Source organism: Homo sapiens, chromosome 1 (assembly GCF_000001405.40).
Source record: "Homo sapiens chromosome 1, GRCh38.p14 Primary Assembly".
NCBI classification, from domain to species: domain Eukaryota; kingdom Metazoa; phylum Chordata; class Mammalia; order Primates; family Hominidae; genus Homo; species Homo sapiens.
The window spans coordinates 97,894,687-97,918,290 of NC_000001.11; the positions used below are offsets into that span (position 1 = coordinate 97,894,687).

The following is a 23,604-nucleotide window of genomic DNA, read 5'->3' on the forward strand; positions in this document are numbered from 1 at the left end:
TATATATACTGTTTGTATATTTTTATTATAGGAATTGAGAAATAAAGTGTCAAATGCAAACACTTATAAAGAGATATCAAAAATATATAAAATGGGATAACCTATACTGTACTTTATTTTAAAATTTCATTACTTTAATTATAAACTATTTTCAATTTAATATAATGTGGCAAAGCATCCATATATTACATATTTAAATTAAAACCAGTATGTAGAAAATGTGTAACTATGAAAATACACGTTGGAATATCTTGCATTTGCAAAAAGTTGAACATATGTATAAATTTATACAAAATCCCAAGACAGAATTATGTGAAAAGAAAGTTGATAGGGATTATTACGTTACCAAAAAAATTCACCAGTTCATTGGGTAAGAAAATCTATATTTTAGCATTTATACTTTTTTTCATTCAAAACAAATTAGTCAATTTACCTCAAAACTTGCTTTACAGAAATTGCCTGGCTCCTATGTAAAATTGGCCTTAGAGGGCCTTTTTCAAGTAGTATGAAAAGTATTATGATTTACCTTTAATCTAGTACCTTTTGTGTATAAAATACTCTCATTTACAAAAGACACTGCTCACAAGACCAAGGGTTATTTTAGTTCAAAAGAGGCTAAGTGTATACCAGCATGCTAAAATTATTTAATACCAGTCAACAAATAGAGATGCTGGAAAACAGGACTTCAAGGGAAAGATGAAAGCAGGACCTGGGCTAACTGAGTTTAAATGTTTTACAAATTAAGTAAATAGAGGAAGTAGCATGATTTTCAGGTTCACAAAACTGTAATAAATCATAGCGTGACTAGTTGCCCTTCATCTATATGGTTAACAGCTAAAAGGAAATATATATATGGGCTGGCAAGTGACTTATGTTAAAAATAAGAACTGATATGATAAAAATGAGTTTTCATTTCTGGATTTTATTAATTGAAGGATTATCATATCTATTTTTTGAGAAGGATCAGAGTAGAGCAAGGAGCTGAGGAGTTGGGGAATTGGGTGAGTTGAGGAGTTGGACTATTTAAAATCATGAAATTTATGAATTTAAAGTTCATGCATACAATTACTATTTAAGCTACTTTTATTTCCTTAATAAGTAATATTTTGTATTCTTAATTAATACACTTTGTTTCAATGCCTAGAGAGAATGCTTTCCATTTAAACAGTAGTATTAGCTGTATATGCAGTATGGAGTCACATCAAGATATCCCAATTTTTTTACCAAAAACAACCTAGGAATTCCAATTTAAGAGAACAAATATCTCACTTAAAATAATTTAAGTTTATACCTAAAGCAAGATATAAAAATATAACACCCAATCTTACACTGTAATTACATACTATTTGACCTAATCTAGCTTCTTTCCAGGGATTAATAAAATTAACTTGGCATCTTTTTTGGGTCCCTAGGATTTAGTATATTAGAGTTGGAATGGACTCTTAGAGATTAACATTTGATTTCACGTCCTATTTAGAAATCCTGTTCCAAACACTCATTGAACTATATCAATCAAATTAATCAAAAATGACATAGTGTTAGTCTCTTATATAAAGCTCACATAAATGGATAAGAAAACAGGAAAATATTATCAGATAAGCTGGAAAAGGGCATGAACAGATCACAGAAGAATGCATACATATCTCCAATTTAAAGTGAAAAAGAGAAACATTCAGCTACCCACTGAGTCTTCACTTTCCTACCACTACTGCAAATGCTCTTGTCAAGTCTCACCGATGATGTGCATGTTACCCAACATTCTTTGTGCATTGTTAGGTTTTACTTCTCCCCGTCTCATATTTAAGTGACTTTATTTTTTTCTTCATAGGTAAAGTATTACTTTTTTACAATAGCTTTATTGAGATATAATTCACTTACACATGATTCACCTATTTTAAGTATATAATTCATGAATTTTAGTATACCTACAAAGCTGTGCAACCATCACCATAGTCAATTTTAAAACATTTCATCAAACATATCCCTGCCAAAAACATGTACCCATTATCAGTCACTTCCAGTTTTCCCCAAACCTCCAGATTTAAGCACCATTAATCTACTTTCTAACTCTTTGGATTTGTCTGTTTTGGACATGTCATATAAATGGAATCATACAATATGTTGTTTTTTTGTAAATGGTTTCTTTCACTTAGCATAATGTCTTCAAAGATTATTCATATAGCATTTTACTTGTATATGTGTTATAAACCCCATACTTTACTGTTTAATTTAAATGACCAATTCTCTTAATGAGGTTTAAATAGTAAGTAAAAATCATATATCTACCTATGTAGTTACCATTTTTGCAATTATGTAATCCTTGGTGCAAACCCCTATTTTTACCTACTATTGTTTCCTTTTGCCTGAAGGATGTGATTTCCTTTAATATTTCTTGTAATGCGGGTCTGCTGCTTATAAATGTTTGCAACTTTTGTATGCCTGAAAAAGTCTCTACTTTGCCCTGGTTTTTGAACTCTAATTTCACTGGATAATAGAATTCTACACTGAAAGTTTTTGTTCCCTGATACTTTAAATGTCTTCTCACTTGCATTATTTCCAACAATAAATCTGCTATTGCTTTATCTTTGTTCTTCTGTATCCAGTACACCTGTTTTTTTCCTCTAGCCGCTCTGAAGATAAACTCTTTATCACTAGTTTTGACCAATTTGATTATGATGTGCCTCGGCGTTGTTTTCTTTATATTTCTTCTGCTTAGGTTTCACTGGGCTTCTTGGATTTACAAATTCATTTTTACAAATATTTTCTTCTTCTCTCCTCCCACTGCTTCACTCTCATCTCTGGGGAAATTCCATTTACATGTATATGAGGCCACTCGAAGTTGTTCCACAGCTCACTGATAGTCTTTTCATTTTTTTCTCTCTCTGTGTTTCATTTTAGAGTTTTTATTGCTATGTCCTCAAGTTAACTATCTTTTCTTCTGCAGTGTCTAATCTGTCTTCAATATTATCCAGTGTGTTTTTCATCTCCTTACAGTTGCCATCTTTAGAAGTTCAATTTGGGTCTCCTATCTATTTTGCACACCTCTACTTCATTTTTTGAACATATAGAATACAGTTATAATGACAGTTTTAATGTTCTTCTCTGCTAATTTAACATCTGTGTCGGCTTTGGATTTGTCTCAATACATTAATTTTTATCCTCATTATGGGTGGTATTTTCCTGCATCCTTTCATGCCTAGTTATTTTTAATTGGATGATAGACATTGTGAATTTTACCATATTGGGTACATGATATTTTCGCATTCCTATAAATGTTTTTGAGTTTTGTTCTAGGACATAATTGAATTATTTGAAAATGATTTGATCCTCTCAGGTCTTGGTTTTAAGCTTTGTGAGGAGGGAATCAAGCAGCATTTGCTCTGGGGCTAATTATTTCCCACTACTGAGGCAAAAAACTTCTGAATACCCAATGTCGTATGAATCATGAAGTTTTCCAGTCTGGCTGGTGGGAGGAGGCATTATTCCCAGACCCATGTGAGTGCTAGTTCCGTCGGACTGTTCTTTACGCAGCCATGGGTCATTTTCCCACATGCGTATACTAATCATTACTCTGTGGAGTACTCAAGGGGAACCCTCTGCTGATCTGCAGGTTTCTCTCTGAGCAGCTCTAGCCTCTCTGTTGTTCTGTTCTACAAACTCTAGCTTCCTTGGTCTCCCTAGACTTTCAGCTCTGTCTCTCCAATTGAAGGATTCCACCAGGCTTTGTGTGGTTTCCCCCTTCTGATCTGCAGCCTATAAACTCTCTCAAGAGGATAAACTAGAAAAATATTAGGGTTTCCTTCATTTGTTTATGTTTCTCAGGGAACACTGTATTTCATTGCTTGATAGCCAGTATCTTAAAAATAATTGTTTCATATATTTTGTTTCTTTTTTATTGTTTCAGGTGGAAATGTGTACAGGAAAGAACCTGATAGGCCTGAGTTGCTCAAATCCTGAGCAATATGGTTTGACTGTGTCCCCAACCAAACCCACCTTGAACTGTAATAATCCCCATGTCACACGGGTGGGGCTAGGTGAAGGTAACTGAATCATCAGGGAGGTTTCCCCACACTGTTTTCATGGTAGTGAATACGTCTCATGAGATCTGATGGTTTTCTACATGGTGGTTCCTCTGCATAAGCTTTCTTGCCTGCCACCATGTAAGATGTGCCTTTGCTCCTCCTTTGCCTTCCAACATGATTGTGAAGCCACCCCAGCCATGTGGAACTCTGAATCCATCAAACCTCTTTCCTTTATAAATTATCCAGTTTCAGGTATGTCTTAATCAGCAGCGTGAGAACAGACTAATACACTAAGCATTCCCAAGAAAGGCTTGTTTTCAGAAGAAGTGGCCCTCAGCTCACTCCTAGGAACCAAGCTGTGACTATTCTGTCAGACAAGAGTGTTTTGTTTTGTTTTTTTTTTTAATGCCAAAGGCCTTGGGCCACGTTGTAACAGTTGGCTAGTTTACATTAACAGTGTGATTAATGATGAGTATCTGCTTTTTCTCTGGTGGTCTGAACCTTGAATAACTGAAGTCAGTCACACAGCACTATATGTATACATGACTAACACGCAATTAAAAACCCTGGATACTAAGGTTTGGGTGAGCTTCCCTTATTGGCAACTCTTCACATGTTGTCACACATCATTTGCTGGAAGAATTAAATGTGTGCCATGTAACTCCATTGGGAGAGGACAACTGAAAGCTTGTGGGTGACTTCCTCTGAACTTTGACAAATGCGCCTTTTCCCTTTGTTTCTTTTAATTTATTCTTTCACCATAATAAACTATAACCATGAATACAACAACTTCTATATCCTGAGGGTATTTATAGTAAATCAATTGTGCCTGGAGGTGGTCTTGGAACCCCCAATACAAAATGTACATCTATTCCCTAGTGTCCCACCTTGAGTGTATGCAGAATTCCAGTAAGAGTATCATACTCTAGTGGCCACTCCTTCACATGGCTTAATTTTATAGAGCACCTGGACAAACAATACAGAAAAATTTTCAAAATGGCAATACGTAATTTCTTTACTCACTTTTATATAGGAATCTTAGGTAAATGTATTAGAGATTGATACGTGGTCATGGGACCATGGGCTTTAAAGTAGAAAAAGTTAACTTATCACAGATACTCCTGAATAAATCAGCTGCATCAGAATATCTCAGATTTCCCTACACATCTATCAATTATACATGGATAGGCCTTGGGAATCAATCAGTTTAACAAATGTCTGTGGCAGACTTTGCAGCTCTCCTGCCTCAGTATGCACTCCATCCTTCCTTCTTAGTAGCAAACCCCTATTACATTTTGGGAGCCATAGTTCTCAGCTACAGACTATAATTCCCAGGCTTTGACAAGCCATTCAGCTAAGTACCAGGAAATAATATGCATTTAGAAGTGTGTATCTTTTAAGGAGTCTCATTAAAGGGAGAGGTATACCTTGTTTTTCCTGTTCTTCTCTGCTTTTGGAGCTCTAGCTGCTAACTTCAACAGAGAGGTGAACTTGAGGATATCAGAATGGAAAGACAGAAACCTGTTGACAACAAAAAGGTGCTATACGCACTCTAGTATCTATCTCTGGACTTCTTTTACATGAGGAATAAATAAAGTTCTGTCTTCTTTAAGCCGCTTTTAGCAATTTTTCCCATGTTATACCCCAACACCTGGTTTTTACAGTGCCCAAGGTGATTCTGGTGGTCAACTAGGTATGGGAAGGACTGATAGTCCAATCAACAAGGCAAAATATTCAAAACCAGGGTGCATGGAAACTTCAAAATAAAAGCATTTGGCTTATGTACTTAAAAGATAAGTGGGAAATCACATCAGCTTAAGTATTTTTCTTGAAATCCATCAAATGTCAAAAATCCTAAACCAAAACTTACTCATTTCAAAGAATGATCAATGGAAATTTTATTGTGCCAGCACAAAAAAAGTAATTCATTTTCATCTCCATTCATTGACTGCTAATAGGTTTCTCCATTTTAACTGACATAATTTTTTTACAATATAGCATAATGATGTGAATAAAATATATCCAATGCTCCTTTGCAAACTGTTTTTTGAAAATCTCCCATGCACACAACTCCCTCCCCAAAATCCACACTTCCAACCAGTCTGTTAAATCCCTCCCTCCTATCAAGCCGCAGTAGATAACACATTTCTGTGCTCCCAAGATACACCATGCAAAACACCCTATCTCTATTAATATTCTAACTTGATTTCTGGATGTGTTCTCAGTCTAATATATACTTCAACAATAAGACAGTTTAGCAACTTTTTATCAAAATTTTATAATGTCTTTTATTCGAAAAAAATTATATTAAAAAATGATATAAGAACATTTTTTAATGTTCTTATATCAGATGACTATTTGGTAATACCTGATGTTGAATGAGAGCTTACAGTATGCCAGGCACCCCTTCAAGTGTTTTTCAAGTACAGATGAGAAAACTAAATCACAAGGAGATTGAGTAACTTCCCCAGGAAGTAACAGAGATTCTTAACCCACATATTTTGGCTTCAGATTATGGACTGTTATTCACTACTCTGTACTTCTTCTATGGGCAGCTAATATTAGTTTCATTTTAATGTAGTAACTCAACGATTGCTGCATATTCACTGTAAATACTGAAATCAATTTTGCGCTGGTGCAGCTACAGAAACAAGACCTGAAATAAGTCAGATTAAAGAAAAGTCTATTATATGCTGATTAAGCCACAATATATACCAAACTTCCTGGTACACATTGCTTATATAGTGTTACTTCAAATGAAAAGAAAGAGACAAACCTCAGAAATATTGTTAAGGAAGCTCTAGCAGGACTTGATAACAATGAGTATAGGTTGTAAAGAGACAGAAAAGTAAATACACCTCCCATATTAACAATTTGTGATTATAAGGGGAATAGTATGCACAGAAAATAAAAGTTGGGATAGAAAACTGGCTTAGAAAAAAATATTTAGTACTGTTTGGCTCATCACTTGAATAATGGTGTCATCTTACAAATGACATATAAGCAGCAACAATAACAAAAAACTGACAGTGAAATACAGCATGTCTCCAGTGCCTTTCAATTAATTGTTGGATTTGAATTAAGTTCACACATCTTGTCTAAAAAGCTAAGATTTTTCTTTAATTGTAAAAAAATCACAGATGCTCTGGTATCAAAAATACATTTACCATTCAGAAATGTCAGGTAATGCTACTTCCATTAAAATAGAAATTCTGGGTTTAATATTTATCAATTTATAAAATAGTTTACATATATTATTAAACCCTCAAATTCTTGTATTCCAATTGAAATCCACATAGTCTAAAATTCTCTGCTTATATGCCTGTCTGCCCCACTAGCCTTTCAGCTTACTGAGTATGATGACTGGCTATTACCCTTCTCAGTATCTCCAGGAACTTATATAAGGCATAAATATAGAGACTTGCAATAAATTGAATTGTATCTCCTTAGAGTGTAAGAGCCACAAGGGACCTCTATTTACAGATGCGCCTAGTGAAGTAAAAGAACAATCCATATTAAAGACTGAGTCAAGATTAGAACCAAGTCTCCTAACTCTATGACATCACCACACTCATACAAAAATATCACTACAATGAGGCTCCTGAATACTTTGAATTATCCATGACTTTACATTGCCTACGAGCCTACTTCTGATAAGAAACCATACTTGAAAGTAGCATAAGAGCAAGAATTAGAAGATGCATAAATAATATAGACCAGAGAGGCATAAGAGGTCAGAAGTTCAGTGTTTTGGATTTACTGGGTAAAACTGGTTTTCTTTAATTTCCATAGGAAAGATTACAGGATGCCCACATGTCAAGTAATTCTTTAATCATTAAGTTTGCTGTTTCCATTGAAATGTTATTCATCTCAAAGATATGTAAATTATCACCATCACTTTAATACAATGCTTCCTACACTTTCTCTGTCATTTTAAAGATTAAGACTGAAAATAAATTAAAAGCAGGGGTATGTTGCTATATAATAAGAGGTAATTTCATCAAATTAGTAACATTCAGATTCTAATGAGATTTCTTTATTATTTTAGACACAGAATATTTTCCTAAAGGAGCATACTAAACAAAACAATCTACCTTTTAAGACTTTTCTTAAATGGAGCATACCACTAGAAAACAAACAGCTATTATTTTTCATTTCAATCTAAATAACTGCAATAACTTCCAGGTGTTTAGAAAGAGGTACCTCCCAACACTACATAGTTCCACGCTTTCTTTAAACCTTCCTAACACTTAGACTTACTCAAAGATATAAACATTATTCCAAAGGATGATAAATATTGCATCGTAATTAAGGTTACTGGGCTGGCACAGAAGAGAATTTGACTTAATGGGAGACTTCTGTGATGGAAATTAATAAGTTTGCCACTTAATTACAAACAGTGTGGGTTGTGAGCAACATTCATACTATTTACACACTTGTTAAGATTTAAGTAAGAAAAGGCTTGATAATACATCTCTTATTTACTACGAAGCAAAATTAAAACTTGAAAACTAGAAACAATCTATATTTAACAATATCACAAAGAATGAAATAGCTCCGATTTCTTTTGCTTTAAAATTTGTTTTACTGAATATAATACATATTTATTTTTAAAAGTTTTAATCCGAATGAATGATAACCCCCTAAAATGCAGGTTATAGAGCTGGATGAAGCATGTGAAAATTTTTAGAAACGTATGTAAATGGTGTTTCTCACAATTTATGGATCAGTTCTGTCTATCAATTCCAAATTTGAGTTTTTGTCATAACCAGAATCTTGAAATGGTCAAAACATGTTGGTCTAGCAAATCAATATCTAACATGGACAACGCTAAGTAAATGTCCTTGGTTATTAAGTTAATTATATATTAACATATAAGTATGTTTAATATCAACAGTATCTTTTTAAAACTATTCCTTAGAAAATCTTTCTTGATACTGTCTTACAATTCATCTTTTTTCACATTCAGGCCCATTGTTTGGTAATTTTAAATTACTTCAAACTATACTAGAGGAACTAAGAAATCCAAATATCTAGAGTTTTAAAATGTTAATTCAAACTTTAGGCAGCCTTTTAAAAAGCTGCCTTTCCAAGACTGCTAGGCAAATGGCCAACAACAACATTTTAACTGTCCAAAAATCTGACGGCTGAATAAAAATTTGAATTTTACTAGCAAATGAATTAAGAGAAACAGCTAAAGTGTTGCTTCTAGAAAGGGAAATAGGAGAAGATGGAGAGGGGTGAGGTGAAAGCTAGACCCAGTGGGCACTGGAGAGAGGATAGCTAACATCTATTTCCAACTCCCTATTCTTAGGGAGGGCTTAAAATCAGCAACAGAGGCTGTATTTACCCCAGGGTAATCAGGAAGGGCTACACATCAGGATGTCCCTTCTCTGCACCATCCCTCCCCTAACTCCCATTTACTAGTTTACCATCATATCACTGGGAGGAATAGAACCACTATTCCACAAAGTTGTTTGTTTATTTTTAAATGTTTATGATATGCATGTACTATCATGATGGAAATCAAACACATTTAAAGATGTCATTATTAAAACAATGGAATAATTCAGAAATGATTATACAGGATCCACTGGGTGGCAAGGTAATCATAACATTTCAGTGACAATATCTTAATCATAATGGAAGTGTGGGAGACCAGAATATACCTTCCCAAAATATGAAGGGTTATTGCACTGAAGGCAGTTAAGAAGAAACACAGGAGAGTTCTCTGGCCTCCCTTTATTTGCCTAAAAGCAGTAGATAGATTTACAAAGAAAATGGTATCCTGCCCACCTCTCTACCAAAAAGAAAAAAGGTTAACCACCAAAGACAGCTTTAGACCCTTATCAGCCTAGCAACAGTACCAGAGGAATTTATATTAACAAGTTTTACTAACTTTTGTCTGCCATGCATTTGCCTTCTCCTCAAGTTGCCATCCTTTGTCTTTTCAGTTCTCTAAAAATGTACTGTTCTTTGTTGAAGGAGCTATTTCAAAACCACTTCTGGGAAAACTACTCATTCTCTGGGTATCTCCCATGTACTTGTGAAATATATATGTTAATCAGCTTGTTTACTTTTCTCTTGTTAATCCATCTTTCATAATAGGGGTATGTTCCAACTAAGAACCTACTGAAAGTTATTACTCCCTTACAGTTTGTACTCAAAATTCCATATCAATCCAAATCAGTTGCCATGGGTATTAAAAGGCACTACTGATCTTGAGTAATAGCAAGGGCACCTGCATAGTCAATGTAATCTAATTTCTCCAGGAAAGTTGACTTACACAATTAAAGTTACCAAACCTAAAATTATATTTATTTTAAGCCCAATATATGTTTTTATGGAAGTATACTATTTTAGAATTGATAAAATAAAGAATTTCATAGATTCTGGATTTATTTCACTTTCAGATTAACTGAGAACTAGACTAGAATTGCTTTGTTTTGAACACTGTAGTGCAAATTATAATTACCCAATATGCACCTCTAACTATTTGCTCCTGTAGCATAATTAATTCAAAATTATACAGGACTAAAGATGCAAAGGGAGCAAGGGTTAGACTAATATAAAATTAACCTTAGATCATATCCTTGTCATTATATTTTTTCAGTCCTCAATATGAACTGGTTTTCTTGACAATGACATCATTATCATTATAAAGTAGAAATAAAAAGAAAAATGTCCTTCAGTCAAGGGCTCCAGTGAATCAGTTTTATAACACATCTAAATGTATACAGACTTTAAAGAAAAGAAAACACGATATAGAATCCCAAAACCAATTCCAGTCCGGTAATCCAGTTTGCCTATTTCTTTTTCCAAATTTCCCAACAAATAAAGATTCTGTCCTGTCAGCTGCCAAAGTGGCCGGCAAAGGACAAAACTGGTCATTTGACATGATGTAGAGAAGTGATTGATGATATCTCATCAGCTCCCTCCACTGCAACCATCTGGCCTGTGGATTAGACGCCATTCATACCTTGCTTCATTTACACATGTGAAGGACTCCTTGAAGAACCGAATATTAAACATCTTATTGAGAAACTCAGTGAATACATACGGTCAGGAAAAATGAGGTAACTTTTGAAGGACTTCCCACTTCTATACCTCTATGATTCCTAATTTTCATGTCATGTATTTTAATGTCTGAATAAACAGCAATGTAAAACTGAGCTCATATTCATAGATTTTAGTTTCCAGTTCACTACTGACTTTAATCAAACCATTTAACCTTTCTATGTCCTTGGTTTCACCATTTCTGAAACGGATACATCTTTTTAAGACTGGAAACATGTTCTTAAGTAGGGAACAAGAAAAAAAAATGCTCTGAGTGCATAGATCCATGATGATCCCTATTAATTCTAACTCTGCCAGCTCCTATACTTACACCTGCCTCACACCTGACCCATTTCAGCCAGGACAGCCTTCCTTCACCTGTCCTTGGAAAATGATCACCTAATTCATTTTCTGGCCCCTAAATTACTGGATATTGAGGTGAAGGTGAAGGGAAACTGTAACAAAACTTATATGAATTTCTTTATCATTTATTAAATATAATCTAAATAATGGTGTAAAACTAAATTATTAAGTTGCATGAATGTGAATTTATAACATGCTTATTTTAACTCTTACACCATAATTCTGAACCATCATCCCCAAGTACTTATGACTTTCTGTCTTGATATATAATTATTGGTGAAATTGCCTCATCTTCTGTTCTGTATCAAAAGCACATTTAGAGGAGATGCATTTATCTTTCTAACCAGACTCTAAGTGGTACTTAATATAGTTCCCAAGATACAGCAAGTACTTAAAAATTACTTATAAAATTGAACTATGGAATAATATGTTTTGTTGGTAACTTAAGCTTTCGAAAAATGTATACAGGAGTCCACCCTAATCCACGGGGATATGTTCCAAGACTCCCCCAGTGGATGTCTGAAACTGCAGATAGTATTGAACCCTACATATATATTTGTTTTCAATGCTTTTTCCGTTGTAACTGAGCACTTCTCATGAACTGTAACTTTTACAGCCTGTGGTGCAACTGCAAAACTTGCAAGAATTTCTTTTTCCTTCTTCACAGCTTCAGGGACAGAAGATTCATTCTTACCATAGATCTTAGCAATCTCAGTATCTTTCCTTAAGTAAAGAATTTTCACATTTTCACTTGAGGAAGCACTTTACTGCTTCTCTTTGGCATATATGAATTGTCTCCATCACTACTGTTGCACTCTAGAGCCATTATTAAGTAAAATATGCGTTTCTTGAATACAAAGGACTCCAATATTGCCACAGTCATCTGAGAACTAGCATGGTTACTAAGTGACTAGCAGGCAGGGAGCTTAGAAAGTGTGGAGACCCTGGCTGGACAAAGCGATGAGTCATGGGCTGGGCAGGAAGGAGCGGAACAATGAAAGATTTCATCACATTACCCAAAATCGTGCAATTTAAAACTTATGAATTATTTATTTCTGGAATTTCACATTTAATATTTTCAGACCTAAAACTACAAAAAGCAAAAATTGGATGAAGGGGAACTGCTGTGTTTAATTTTTAGTGTGGGTTTTAAAAAATTATCTACCTGGTTCTTTTCCATATTTGATAACAAACATCTTTTCCCTTCATATAAGGACTGTGCATATCTGGAAGTTAAGCAACTTCATGATAGTAACAGCTTACATTTGCATTTGTTCTTAACTTATTTCTTCCAAACAACAACATTATAAGATAAGCAGAACAAGGATCACGATCTCGATTTTATAGATGGGGAAATTAGCTTAAGTTCACAAAGCTCAAAAGTGCCAGAACCAGGACTTTAATAGCATATTTAGGATTCTTCATATTTAGGAATAGTCAACCCCAATTACTTCCTTCAACTACAAAAATTTGAATTTAATAAATACTGTCTCTTACAAATGTTAGTTATCCCCAGTCTCATTTATTCCTAATATCAAAGTATCTGAGGTCCTCCCCTGCTTCCTCCTCCCTCCCTTCCTTACGTTCTTTGTCCTTCCTCTTTCCTTCCTTCCTTTCTTCCTTCCACAAATATCCCAGCTCCTTTGCAGTTCACATCAAAATTTGTATTCATTTTCTTGGGCTGCCATTAAAAAAATTACACAAACTTAGTGGCTTAAAACAGAAATTTACTGCCTCACTCATTCTCAAGTCTAGAAGTCTAAAGTAAAGGTGTCAACCTTGTCATATTCCCTCTGAAATCTGTAGGGGAGAATTCTTTGTTGTCTCTTCTAGGTTCTGGCAATCCTTGTTATCCTCTGGCTGGTTGATGCATCACTCCAATCACTGTCTGCATAGTCATAAGGCTATCTTTTCATTTTTTTCCCCTTTCTTTTTGGAGACAAGGCGTCACTCTGTTGCCCAAGCTGGAGTGCAGTGGTGTAATCATGGCTTACTGCAGCTTCCATCTCTCAGGCTCAAGCAATCCTCCCGCCTCAGCCTCCCAAGTAGCTAGGATTACAGGCACACACCAGCACACCAATCTAATTTTGGTATGTGTTGTAGAGATGGGGTTTTGCCCTATTGCCCGGGCTGGTCTTGAACTCCTGAGTTCAAACAATCCACACCACTTGGCCTCCCAAAGTGCTGGGATTACAGGCGTAAGTCATCGTACCTGGCCTGGCTGTCCTTTCTTATGTATCTTCCCATCATATTTCCTCTGTGTTCTACTCCCTATAACTCAGTGCTTCTGTCATCTACCAACCCCAGGGGGTTGCCACCACACCCTCTACCCAGATTCAGTGAGAATTTAACATCTAATTCTCTATGTCTTCAACTCCACTCAATTTTTTACACCAGTCTTAGTGACTTCAACAGACTCTTGGCTCATTTAGCATCTGCCTCTTTTTACTCACCATCTCACCACCAATAATTCTTGTTCTTCCACCCCACTGCAGCCACCATCACCCTTGGTTATAGTCTTGACTTTACCATGATTATCGCACTATCTCTAAAAGCTTTATTTCAAACATACCACTCCAATCTTTACCTCTGACAACATTCCACTTTCCAAGAATTATCTGACCTTCCTGAAACCATCAATCCATGGAGCGTATCACTGGTGTTTTCAGTAGTCATCTCATTCTCCTATGCTGACGTCCCTCAGATCAGCTTCCATGATACACTATTATGACTTCTTCACAACATCCTTAATTCCCTACTCTTCTCTCACTCCAACTTTATTGCCCAAGCAAAACTAATCCACTTAAACTTATCTCTTTACATCTTATTTGCCTGAACCCAAGCAGTTAAAAGTGGATGGAGAACAATCCACTATTATGTTCACTGCTCTCATGTTCAATTCTTGACTGCAAGCATCAAGTAGAAAATAAATACTGCCTAACAATCCTACTATACTTATTATTTTCATTATCCTACTTTACAGAAAATCTATTCATACTTTCACCTGTTCTTCAAACTTTTACAGCCTGTTTTCCTCTCACCCTCAGTTGGTAATCCTGCCTCATACTCTTATTGAGAAAATTAAAACCATCCATTGGAAGAGGGAACTTATTTTTTGTTCCGCCACCCAATGTGCCACCTCTGTCTCACCACCTATTCTAAACCTTATATTATCAATCCTATTCCCTCTCACCAAAAGAATCCCTTTATACAAGTAATTATCCTGTCTATGTCTTTCAACTCTAGTTTCCCCACTGCAACTCTTCCCTTAATATATGTACCTGCTCTGTTATCCCTCTCCAGCTACTTCCCTATTTTCTGTTCCCCTTTACAGGAAAACTTTTCTCCAGCATTTCCCAATGCCATTGTCTTACTTCCTCACATTCTATTTTCTTCTCAAACCATTTTTATTAGGCTTCTTTCCCCAATGGCTATTGTCAAGCTCACACTTTTTCAATGTTACTAAGTTAAAAGAAATCTTTATGCCCTCAACTACCCTCCCAACAGCAGACAAGAAAGTTGACTATATACACATCCTTCCTCCTCCCTTGGTTTCTTGGCTATCTTCTCCTCTTCTTAATGCCTAAAGTCCTCAGTCCCTTGTTGAGCTACGCTGTCTTTAAGTAATCTTACTCAGTCCCAAGACTTTAAATAACATCTTTATGTCAATAATTCCTCAATTTCTATCTCCAGCTACGGCTTCTTTACAGACATCCAAAAGTTTACTTTCAGCTGCCTACGTGGTATCTTTACTGTGCTATCTAATAGTGATTTCAAACTGAATGCCATTACATATTAAATTTGTGTTCCCCACACCTCTTACTTTTTTTGTTTACCAAAGTTCAGTCCCACCTCTTTGATTTGCTTTCATTTTTCCTCAAAAGCCCCTAGCAGACTTCTTATGATCTTCTAGATTTCAGTTCAAATGTCACCTCTACAGGGAGGCCTTCTCTGACTACCATGTGAAAAAAGACCCTACTAGCCATTCTGCATCACATTTTCTTGGTTTATTTTTACAAAAGCTCATGATATTATCTGAAATTACTGTATATTAAAGAAATTTTTTTTACTATTGTTCCTCCATTAGAATGCAATTTTATTGACTGCAGAATTCTTTTCTGTCTTGTTTGAAAATGTGTTTACAACATCTAGACCAGTGCTTAGCACATTAGGAAAAAATTAATATTTTAGATTTAAAAAAAGAGAGTAAATTCCTGTGTTTTAAAGAAGACTAAAATAACATATTGTCAAAGAGATAAATCACTGAAGTCAAACAATAGGTGGTAGCCATTATTAATAATTTAATACCTAATATTAATTGCATACTTGCCACATGCTGGAACTATTAAAAAGGATGAATCTGTAGTATTTTCTTCAACCACACAACAATCCTGTAATGTAAGTATGATTTCTATCCCCACTTTTACAATGAGAAAACTGAAACAAAAAATGTTTAAGTTATTTGCCAAGGTCAAAACTAGTAAGTGGCAGAGCTAGGCTGTGAACATTAGCACTCTAATTCCAGAGTCTATACTCTTAACCACAAATCTATGCTGTCCTTCCACTACAATCAGACTAAATATTAATTATCTGTTACTCATCATCAATAAATATTATAAAGGACAGAGGTTATCAGTCTACTGCTGTTTCTGAATTTATCTGAGGTTTGGGGAGATTTTATGTTTCCAAGATAACATTCATTTTGTTGTGATCTCATGATACATTAGCATCTAGTTTTCTTAAAATCTGTTATACTTCTACTTTTCTTATTTGTATTCTTATTTACATTTTTTTATTTTACTCTTACATTAAAATGTTGTTAAAATAATTTGTTTAAAATAAAACCCAAAATATTTTAAAATGTGGAAAAATGTTTAAAATTTACCAATATTCAAACAAATACAAATTAAACGAATCACACAAAAGTTTCACCTAATTGTTTATTTAAAAAATAATTTTTATTAACACTTGAAAGGGTATCATTTTATACATACTCATACAGCTGCTAGCAGCTATATTAATTAGTAGTACTATGTAGACATCAACTTGAAAATATTTCAAATCCTTAAAGTAGTCATACCTACCATTGATGATTCCCTTCTAGGATCCTATAATATTGTGATCTTAAGCATAAAGGATGCTTAAGTTTTGTTTCTTACTGTCCAGTCTTGGAATGAAAGGGGTGATGGGCACTAATTTTCATGAGCTACATACAAATTTTTCTCTGCAAATGTTTTTATCTCTTTCAGAAAAGACAGAGCCTTAAGCATACCAATGTCTGGAGTCTGGGTTGCAAGTAAACTTTAGCTTTAAAATGTAGCAAAAATCAAGAGTCATTTTGGTTGGCACACCCAAGGAAGAAGTATGTTTTGCTTCATTTAATTTGTATGTGGGAGAAAAATGTGTTGAGTCAAAAGTAGTTACACTCACGGACCCTTTCTTCTCTGAGTACCAGGAAGAAAAAAAAAAGAAAATGTACACACACATGCTAGTGCATATGCACATGCACACACATGACAACCCATACTTCAAAGTAAAGGCAGGCTAGGATAAAATAATTCTTTGAGAATCTGGTCTGCCAGAGTGGTTTGTTCTTGGGGTGAGGGTGAGAAGGCTGGGATAATATAAAAGTTTCCATCACATAATGAGACAGCTGCAGTTAGTATTACATTTACTCATTCTAGATAACAACCTGAGATTTATCCATTCACGACAATAATCTGAGGTTTATGAATGTTCCATCCAAGATAACAACCTGAGGTCCAACCTTACTCTTCCTTTTCTCCCAGGGCAGAAAAAATTAGGAACCATGCACGCTGTCAAGCCATTCTCCAGAAAGAAACGCTATTATCAGCACTGAGTTAAAAGGAAGTCACATCCACATCAAAGGGAACTACATCCAGATGCCTGCCCGTTCTGTTACCTAGAATCAGTGTTAGGAAGATGAGGCAAACGGTTAAACTGGTTCCATTTCCATTTTGCTCCTTCTGTCTTTGCACCCCAAAATGGTCCCCTTTTCCTTTTTTAAAACATATTTTTAAAGACACTTAATTCAGTTGAAGCATGCAAACGAGAACGGCAGAACCAAAATGCACTATATATCATTGAGCCAACACTCTCAAGTGTATTTCCAGCACAATGCTTTAAGCAAATAAAAAAAAATTGTGCTGAAACATTGTTCTTAATAACTGACTACTAAAAAACAAGGTAAATGTATGATAATAAGAGAGAGGCTTGAATACATTTTGATATCTCCACTCACAAGGAATGTTACGCCGTGACTTAAAACTGAAGTTAATATGAATATAAAGAAATGCTTTTGATAGGACAAGAAAACAAATATCAAATTATATATGACTAAAAGTATTTAGGGAAAGATTACCTCGTGCACAGGAAAGAAATGTACTACATCAATATTACGTGGATGACTTGAGTGGGATGACTATGTATCTTTGGGGTCATCTTTTGATTTTAGTTTTTTGTATGTTTTAAATCTTCTGTAATAATCATGAAAAATAATTTAAAAATCAAATCGGGGAAATAAAGCATAATAAAAGTTAACACTTTTATTACACTAAGGTTACACTAAAAGTTAACAGGAATGAACATTTTGTGGTGAACGGTAACACACGTTACCCCTAGAGATCTGTAAGGGGAACTGAATGCCTTTCTTCTTTGAACTGTGGAGAAGTTTAAATTTTTACCCCAGCACTCCTCAATATTTGGCATAGAGAAATATCTGAAAGAAGTCCCGCAAAGCTCTCAGGTCACTGTGGTACAAGGAGTCAGATTAGTATAGCTTGAATTCTGGGGACCCCATTGCTTATGCCATGGTTTTCACCTACAATCATCAATCAACAAACACACTGAAGAAATTGGCATAAAGAGTCCCATCTCCTTTTTCGAATCTCTGGTCTTAATTTCTAGTTAAAGACAGCATAATCCTAAACATACAAAATGTAAATTTGTTAATTCCAGATCACCCTTACACAGAACTCCAGCCATATATAGTACGATTGAACTTTTCTTGTATTCTCAGGCGAAATTTAGATTTAGCTACTTCATCAGATTAAAAAAGAAAAGGCAGCAAGCAGACATTAAAAAAGTTTAAAATCAGGTGAATAAGCACATGAAATTCATACAGCTGGTATAAATAGTACACTCAATCCTACCAAGTATGTAAATCGAGGAGCCAATATCTCAGCATTTCCTTAATATGAACACACACCAGGTCACATTTCCAAACAATTTCACCATTGCCATATTTTATTTCAAACCATCCTTAAAAGACTGATCAACAGCAAACTCACTGAAGATCAGAAAACTCTTCACAGTGGCTGAATGATTCCCACAAGGTCAGAGAGCAAGGGATCTATGGCATAGAGCAAAATTATCCCCAGGCTTATCCTGTATCTTGGGAAATGTACTTATTTTAATTAACAAATAGTAAATACACATTCTACTATTTTGCTGGCAATTTTCACACGACCTTTTCATTAGGCATGGTAATGTTTCTATAAATTTTAACATGCTACAATTTTTCATGTCAGTCTTAAAGAATTTCATAAAGATTAAGATCTACCGGGTGAGTCAATTCTGTGTAGGTACACTGAGTTGTAAGTTGGAGGATAAAGTTTTGGGAGAGAAGTAAAAGTGCTGGGGGCTTTGAGGGGTTGAGGTGGAGGAGAACCAGCAGAGAGAGGTGAGGAATAAAACATGGGGGGGAGGAGGAAGTGCAGTCAGGGCTCCATCCATGATCGCCTCCTATATAAATCAGGCCTGGAGTTGACATGTAATTTTGTGTGGGTCCCCTGAGAAGTGGCCCTCAGGGATTAATTATTGATGAAGAGATTTTTCTTCAAAGTGGCTCAGTCAAGAGTGCCTCAAGGGGACATTCATAAGTGCTTATAATATCAATTTCCAAGCACCTGGGAGGTAGGGACACAGATTGTCTCTTTAATTATTATGATGGAGGTAAAGTCTAGCAAAAATGCTGTTACACAGCCAAGGTAAAATTCTCAAAGAAATGAAATTATTATAGCTAGTATAAAAAGTGTAATATATGAGTCATCTCTCAGTAAGATCACACTTTACCTTTTCCTGGTGCAAAATAGGTTATCTCCAACCAACTGTTTCCTAGGAGCTAAAAGAGTTATTCATAAGCAAATGCAGTGTGTTTAGGGATGCTTAAAAGTTTAGAAAAAAATTGTTTTTGAAGCTAATATGTTTGCTTAGAAAGAAGATGAGTTTACTCCAGTTAGCACATGGAAATACAAGGGTTTGTTTTAATTATGTAGGAATTTCTTTTCAGAAAAAAATTAATGTCAAATGCCTTCTACATTTCTATGAGAATGCCAAAAAATAATTTTCACCTATGCATTAGCCCTGATCTAGTCTCAAAAACACTCAGAAAAACACAGAAGAATCAATCCATATGTATGTTGCAGTAAAAAAAGGATGGGGCTAGCCTGGATTTGAATCTTATTAACCTACGTAATAGATGTGAATAGTCATGTATAAACAAAACCTAGGCCATATACTTCCTTTGTACCATCTGAAACTTACACCAGTGGGCTCGCAGTACAACAGGTACTAAAAACATATTTTTAGACAGAAATGAAATGAAATGGGTCTCTTTAAATTGATCTGAATTTCAGAAACTCCCCAATCTCCCTCATAATATTGACAAATGTTAATTCAGTAACTTTTTCACAATAGATATATGCAACATTTATAAATCTATAATGCACCTCTTTCATAATCTTTTAACTTCATTAACTCCTCCCTTTCTCATAGATTCTAACAGACTTCAATACCACTAGTTGATTACTAGAGCAAAAACAAATTCTTGCCAATTGATGTTTATATAATGTACATGATAGACGCAGTAATAACATTTAAAATAAGTGTAACCAATTAAAAAAGCATATATTTATGTGACAAATGCTGTCTGAAGCATTTTGTGTATGTGACTCCAATTAATCCTTATAGCTATTGCATGAAATACATAGGATTAAATTCAATTCACAGAAGAAGAAATGGCAGTCCAAGAAAGAAGCTGACCACAGTCACACAAATAAAATAAAATAGTGCCAGGATTCTAACCCAGGTCTGTTTAAATACAATGTTTTCTTTTTGTACTAACCATGAAAGGAAGCTTGATTTGGGGAGATACAAAATAAATAACTTCATATAAAAGTACTTAATTCCTCAATACATATAAATATATATGTATTCATGGTGAACTGGCTAAAAGTTATATGTTGAGTTTGAATGCAGATGTTTCATATGTACTAGTGTAACATTTTAATTAAAAGCAATGGAAGCAGTAATAATTATAAACCACAGGAAAGACATAATCCTATTAAGAGTTATCTCAGTAGTATAATTGGCTCCAGGATATCAGTGAACACCCACATGACTGATATTTGAGGCCAAAAACACCTTCTGTCTTGATATGGAGGATTATGAGCAAATGAAGTCCAGAAGGTAAATATGTCACATTTTAAAATCAAAGTCCCAATTATAGATAAAGGTGTAATCTTACAATGCCTTATTAAATATTTTTAATTAAGGTGGAATATAAACAAAATAAAATTTTCTTTACAGTTTTAAGGACTGAAGGGCTCTGCAACATATTTGTCATGCATTCATACAGCTGAGAGGCAGAAAAATAAATTGGCCAATCCTCCATTTTGATCTCCTCTTTAGCTGTATTGAAGCCTGGATTATATCAAATCTCATCAGATTTTCTTTGTCATGATATTTTACGACAATCTTTTTTCAGTCTCATTGTCTTCTAGTTTTAGTGTTCCAAACTATTACTTACATTTACGCTAATTATTAGAATTCTCCCACAGTGATCAGACATCTTTATTTTACTAGGGGTTCCAGCTTTCAGCCCTTGTGTTGTTGCCAGTTTATACAGAGTTTGGTAAGATGCTGTATTCAAATAGTTAAAGAAAGGTATGATTGCTTAAAGATCTTCCATAACTGAATCAGTATTTTGACTCTAGATCTTCTTAGTGTCCTTATCAATTCCTTACTGTTAATATTCATCTTTTTTTATTATTATACTTTAAGTTTTAGGGTACATGTGTACAACGTGCAGGTTAGTTACATATATATACATGTGCCATGTTGGTGTGCTGCACCCAGTAACTCGTCATTTAACATTAGGTATATCTCCAAATGCTATCCCTCCTCCCGACCCCACAACAGGCCCCGGTGTGTGATGTTCCCCTTCCTGTGTTCATGTGTTCTTATTGCTCAATTCCCACCTATGAGTGAGAACATGCGGTGTTTGGTTTTTTGTCCTTGTGATAGTTTGCTGAGAATGATGGTTTCCAGCTTCATCCATGTCCCTACAAAGGATATGAACTCATAATCTTTTTAAAAGTGAATTTTTCTTCTAGAATGTAACAAAGGAGGCTACCAAATTCCAGCACACTTTACAATTAAGCAATCAGTCAACACCATTTGCTATCATTAAGATTAAGCAGATCCAATCTAAAAATCACCCTCCATCAAGATCCATCATTAGTCATTAATCTCCCAGATTTTAATTAAACTACCAAAACTATTCATCTGAATTCATATGCAAAGGATAGAATTTTTCTTTAAACTGCCCACAACTTTGGTGGGCCAAGCTGAAAGGTTCGCTTGAGCCCAAGAGTACAAGGCCAGCCCGGGCAATATACTGAGACCCCCATCTCTATTTTAAAAAACTGCACTGAAACACATATCAACACACTCAACTACAGAAATATGCAGTACCTTAAAACTACAGGAAGCTACCATTAGAATCAGTGACTCCTCAAATCAGATAATCAGACACATTTCTACTATCCAGCTAAACTCCTTAGAAAGGAGAAACACTTTAAAGTAAAACTATGGCCCACAAAACAGCTTAAAGTAGGAAGTACAAGCATGTTTTCAACAACTCTAACTCACAAAATAGTTTTAAAAAGTTAAAGCTTTAAAAGTCTTAATTTATTTAAGAATATATTTCCAAAAGATCTGCAGTGCCCAGTCAATAAAAGGAAGGAGAAAAGAAATGACTGATGCTTACACATTCAGTAAAAATATATCCATTTAAATCAATAAACAACTCATGGCTTTGTATAAAGTGGAATCTTTATTATCTTTTTTGGATCCATGATTCTCCTTCCTCCCCAGCAGCAAAGGCAATTATGATAAAAGATGTTCTGAAAATTTTTTTGCCATCTCTGCCAATTTATAACCCATGACTTTCCTTGTTTCAAAATTTGTAAAGTCCACTTTCTCCAAGTCTTTCCCATTATGCTTCTATTTTCCAAATTCGCTATTTTTAATCTCATTTTCCTAGTTAATCATACAGAAAATTCCCAATTACCTTTTCAAATGAATAGAAGTCACAGTATCAGTAATTCCGAAACCATTTCTGTTTGACTTAAAATGCATTTGATTTTGTGGACAATGGACTAAAATCCCTTTTTCATTTAGGGTAAATGTGAATTAAGTTTATAACCCTTTAACATTCACTAACTGATCATTCAAGGAATGGGCCTTGTGATTGTGACTGTGGTAGCAGTACAGTAACAGATAGCAACTTGGTTTGGCTACAAATATATATCAAAAGTACTAGTATTCAAATAGTTAAAAGCTTGCTGCAGCTGCATACATTTCGTTTAGATATATATACTTTCAAAGTCTATTCTCATTATCCTTGCCGGTGGAGGGGAACAAGGTCTTGAACAAAAGAGTACTGTTTCAAAATAATTCTCATTTCCTTTCAAGTGTGCAGATATTCACAATATACTGGCTGTAAATTCAATCTAAATGAAGAAGTGCTGTTAAGTTACTGCTGAGGCCTGGGAAAGTGACCAATGTCCAATACTAACCTTCTTTGAAACCATCCCAGGAGAGTTTGTATTAAAGTCATCGTTGACAAAATTCAGACTGTATCCAAACAGTACACTCACAAAGCAAAATAACTTCTAAAAGCATATAACTACTATTAACGGACTTTAAAATGCTAATCATTTCATTGGAAGTGATTTTCCTGAGAATAAGATATATTTTTCTGTTATCTTTATTTTTTAACATTTTTGTCCTTTTTCCCAACAAGATGCTGTCAACTTGTGACATTTGTTTATTATCCTTAGCAGATTTTCCATGTGCA

General features: G+C 34.8%; 1 protein-coding gene across 8 annotated transcripts in view; it reads right to left on the minus strand.

Annotated features, from left to right (window-relative positions):
* Nucleotides 1-23,604, minus strand: part of DPYD (dihydropyrimidine dehydrogenase) — an 843,317-nt gene that overhangs the window by 816,944 nt on the left and 2,769 nt on the right. Inside the window, exon 1 of one of the 8 annotated variants that reach the window (XM_047448076.1) lies at nt 9,922-9,990. The gene's annotated coding sequence lies outside the window, so the exon portion shown is untranslated. 8 annotated transcript variants of the gene reach the window in all.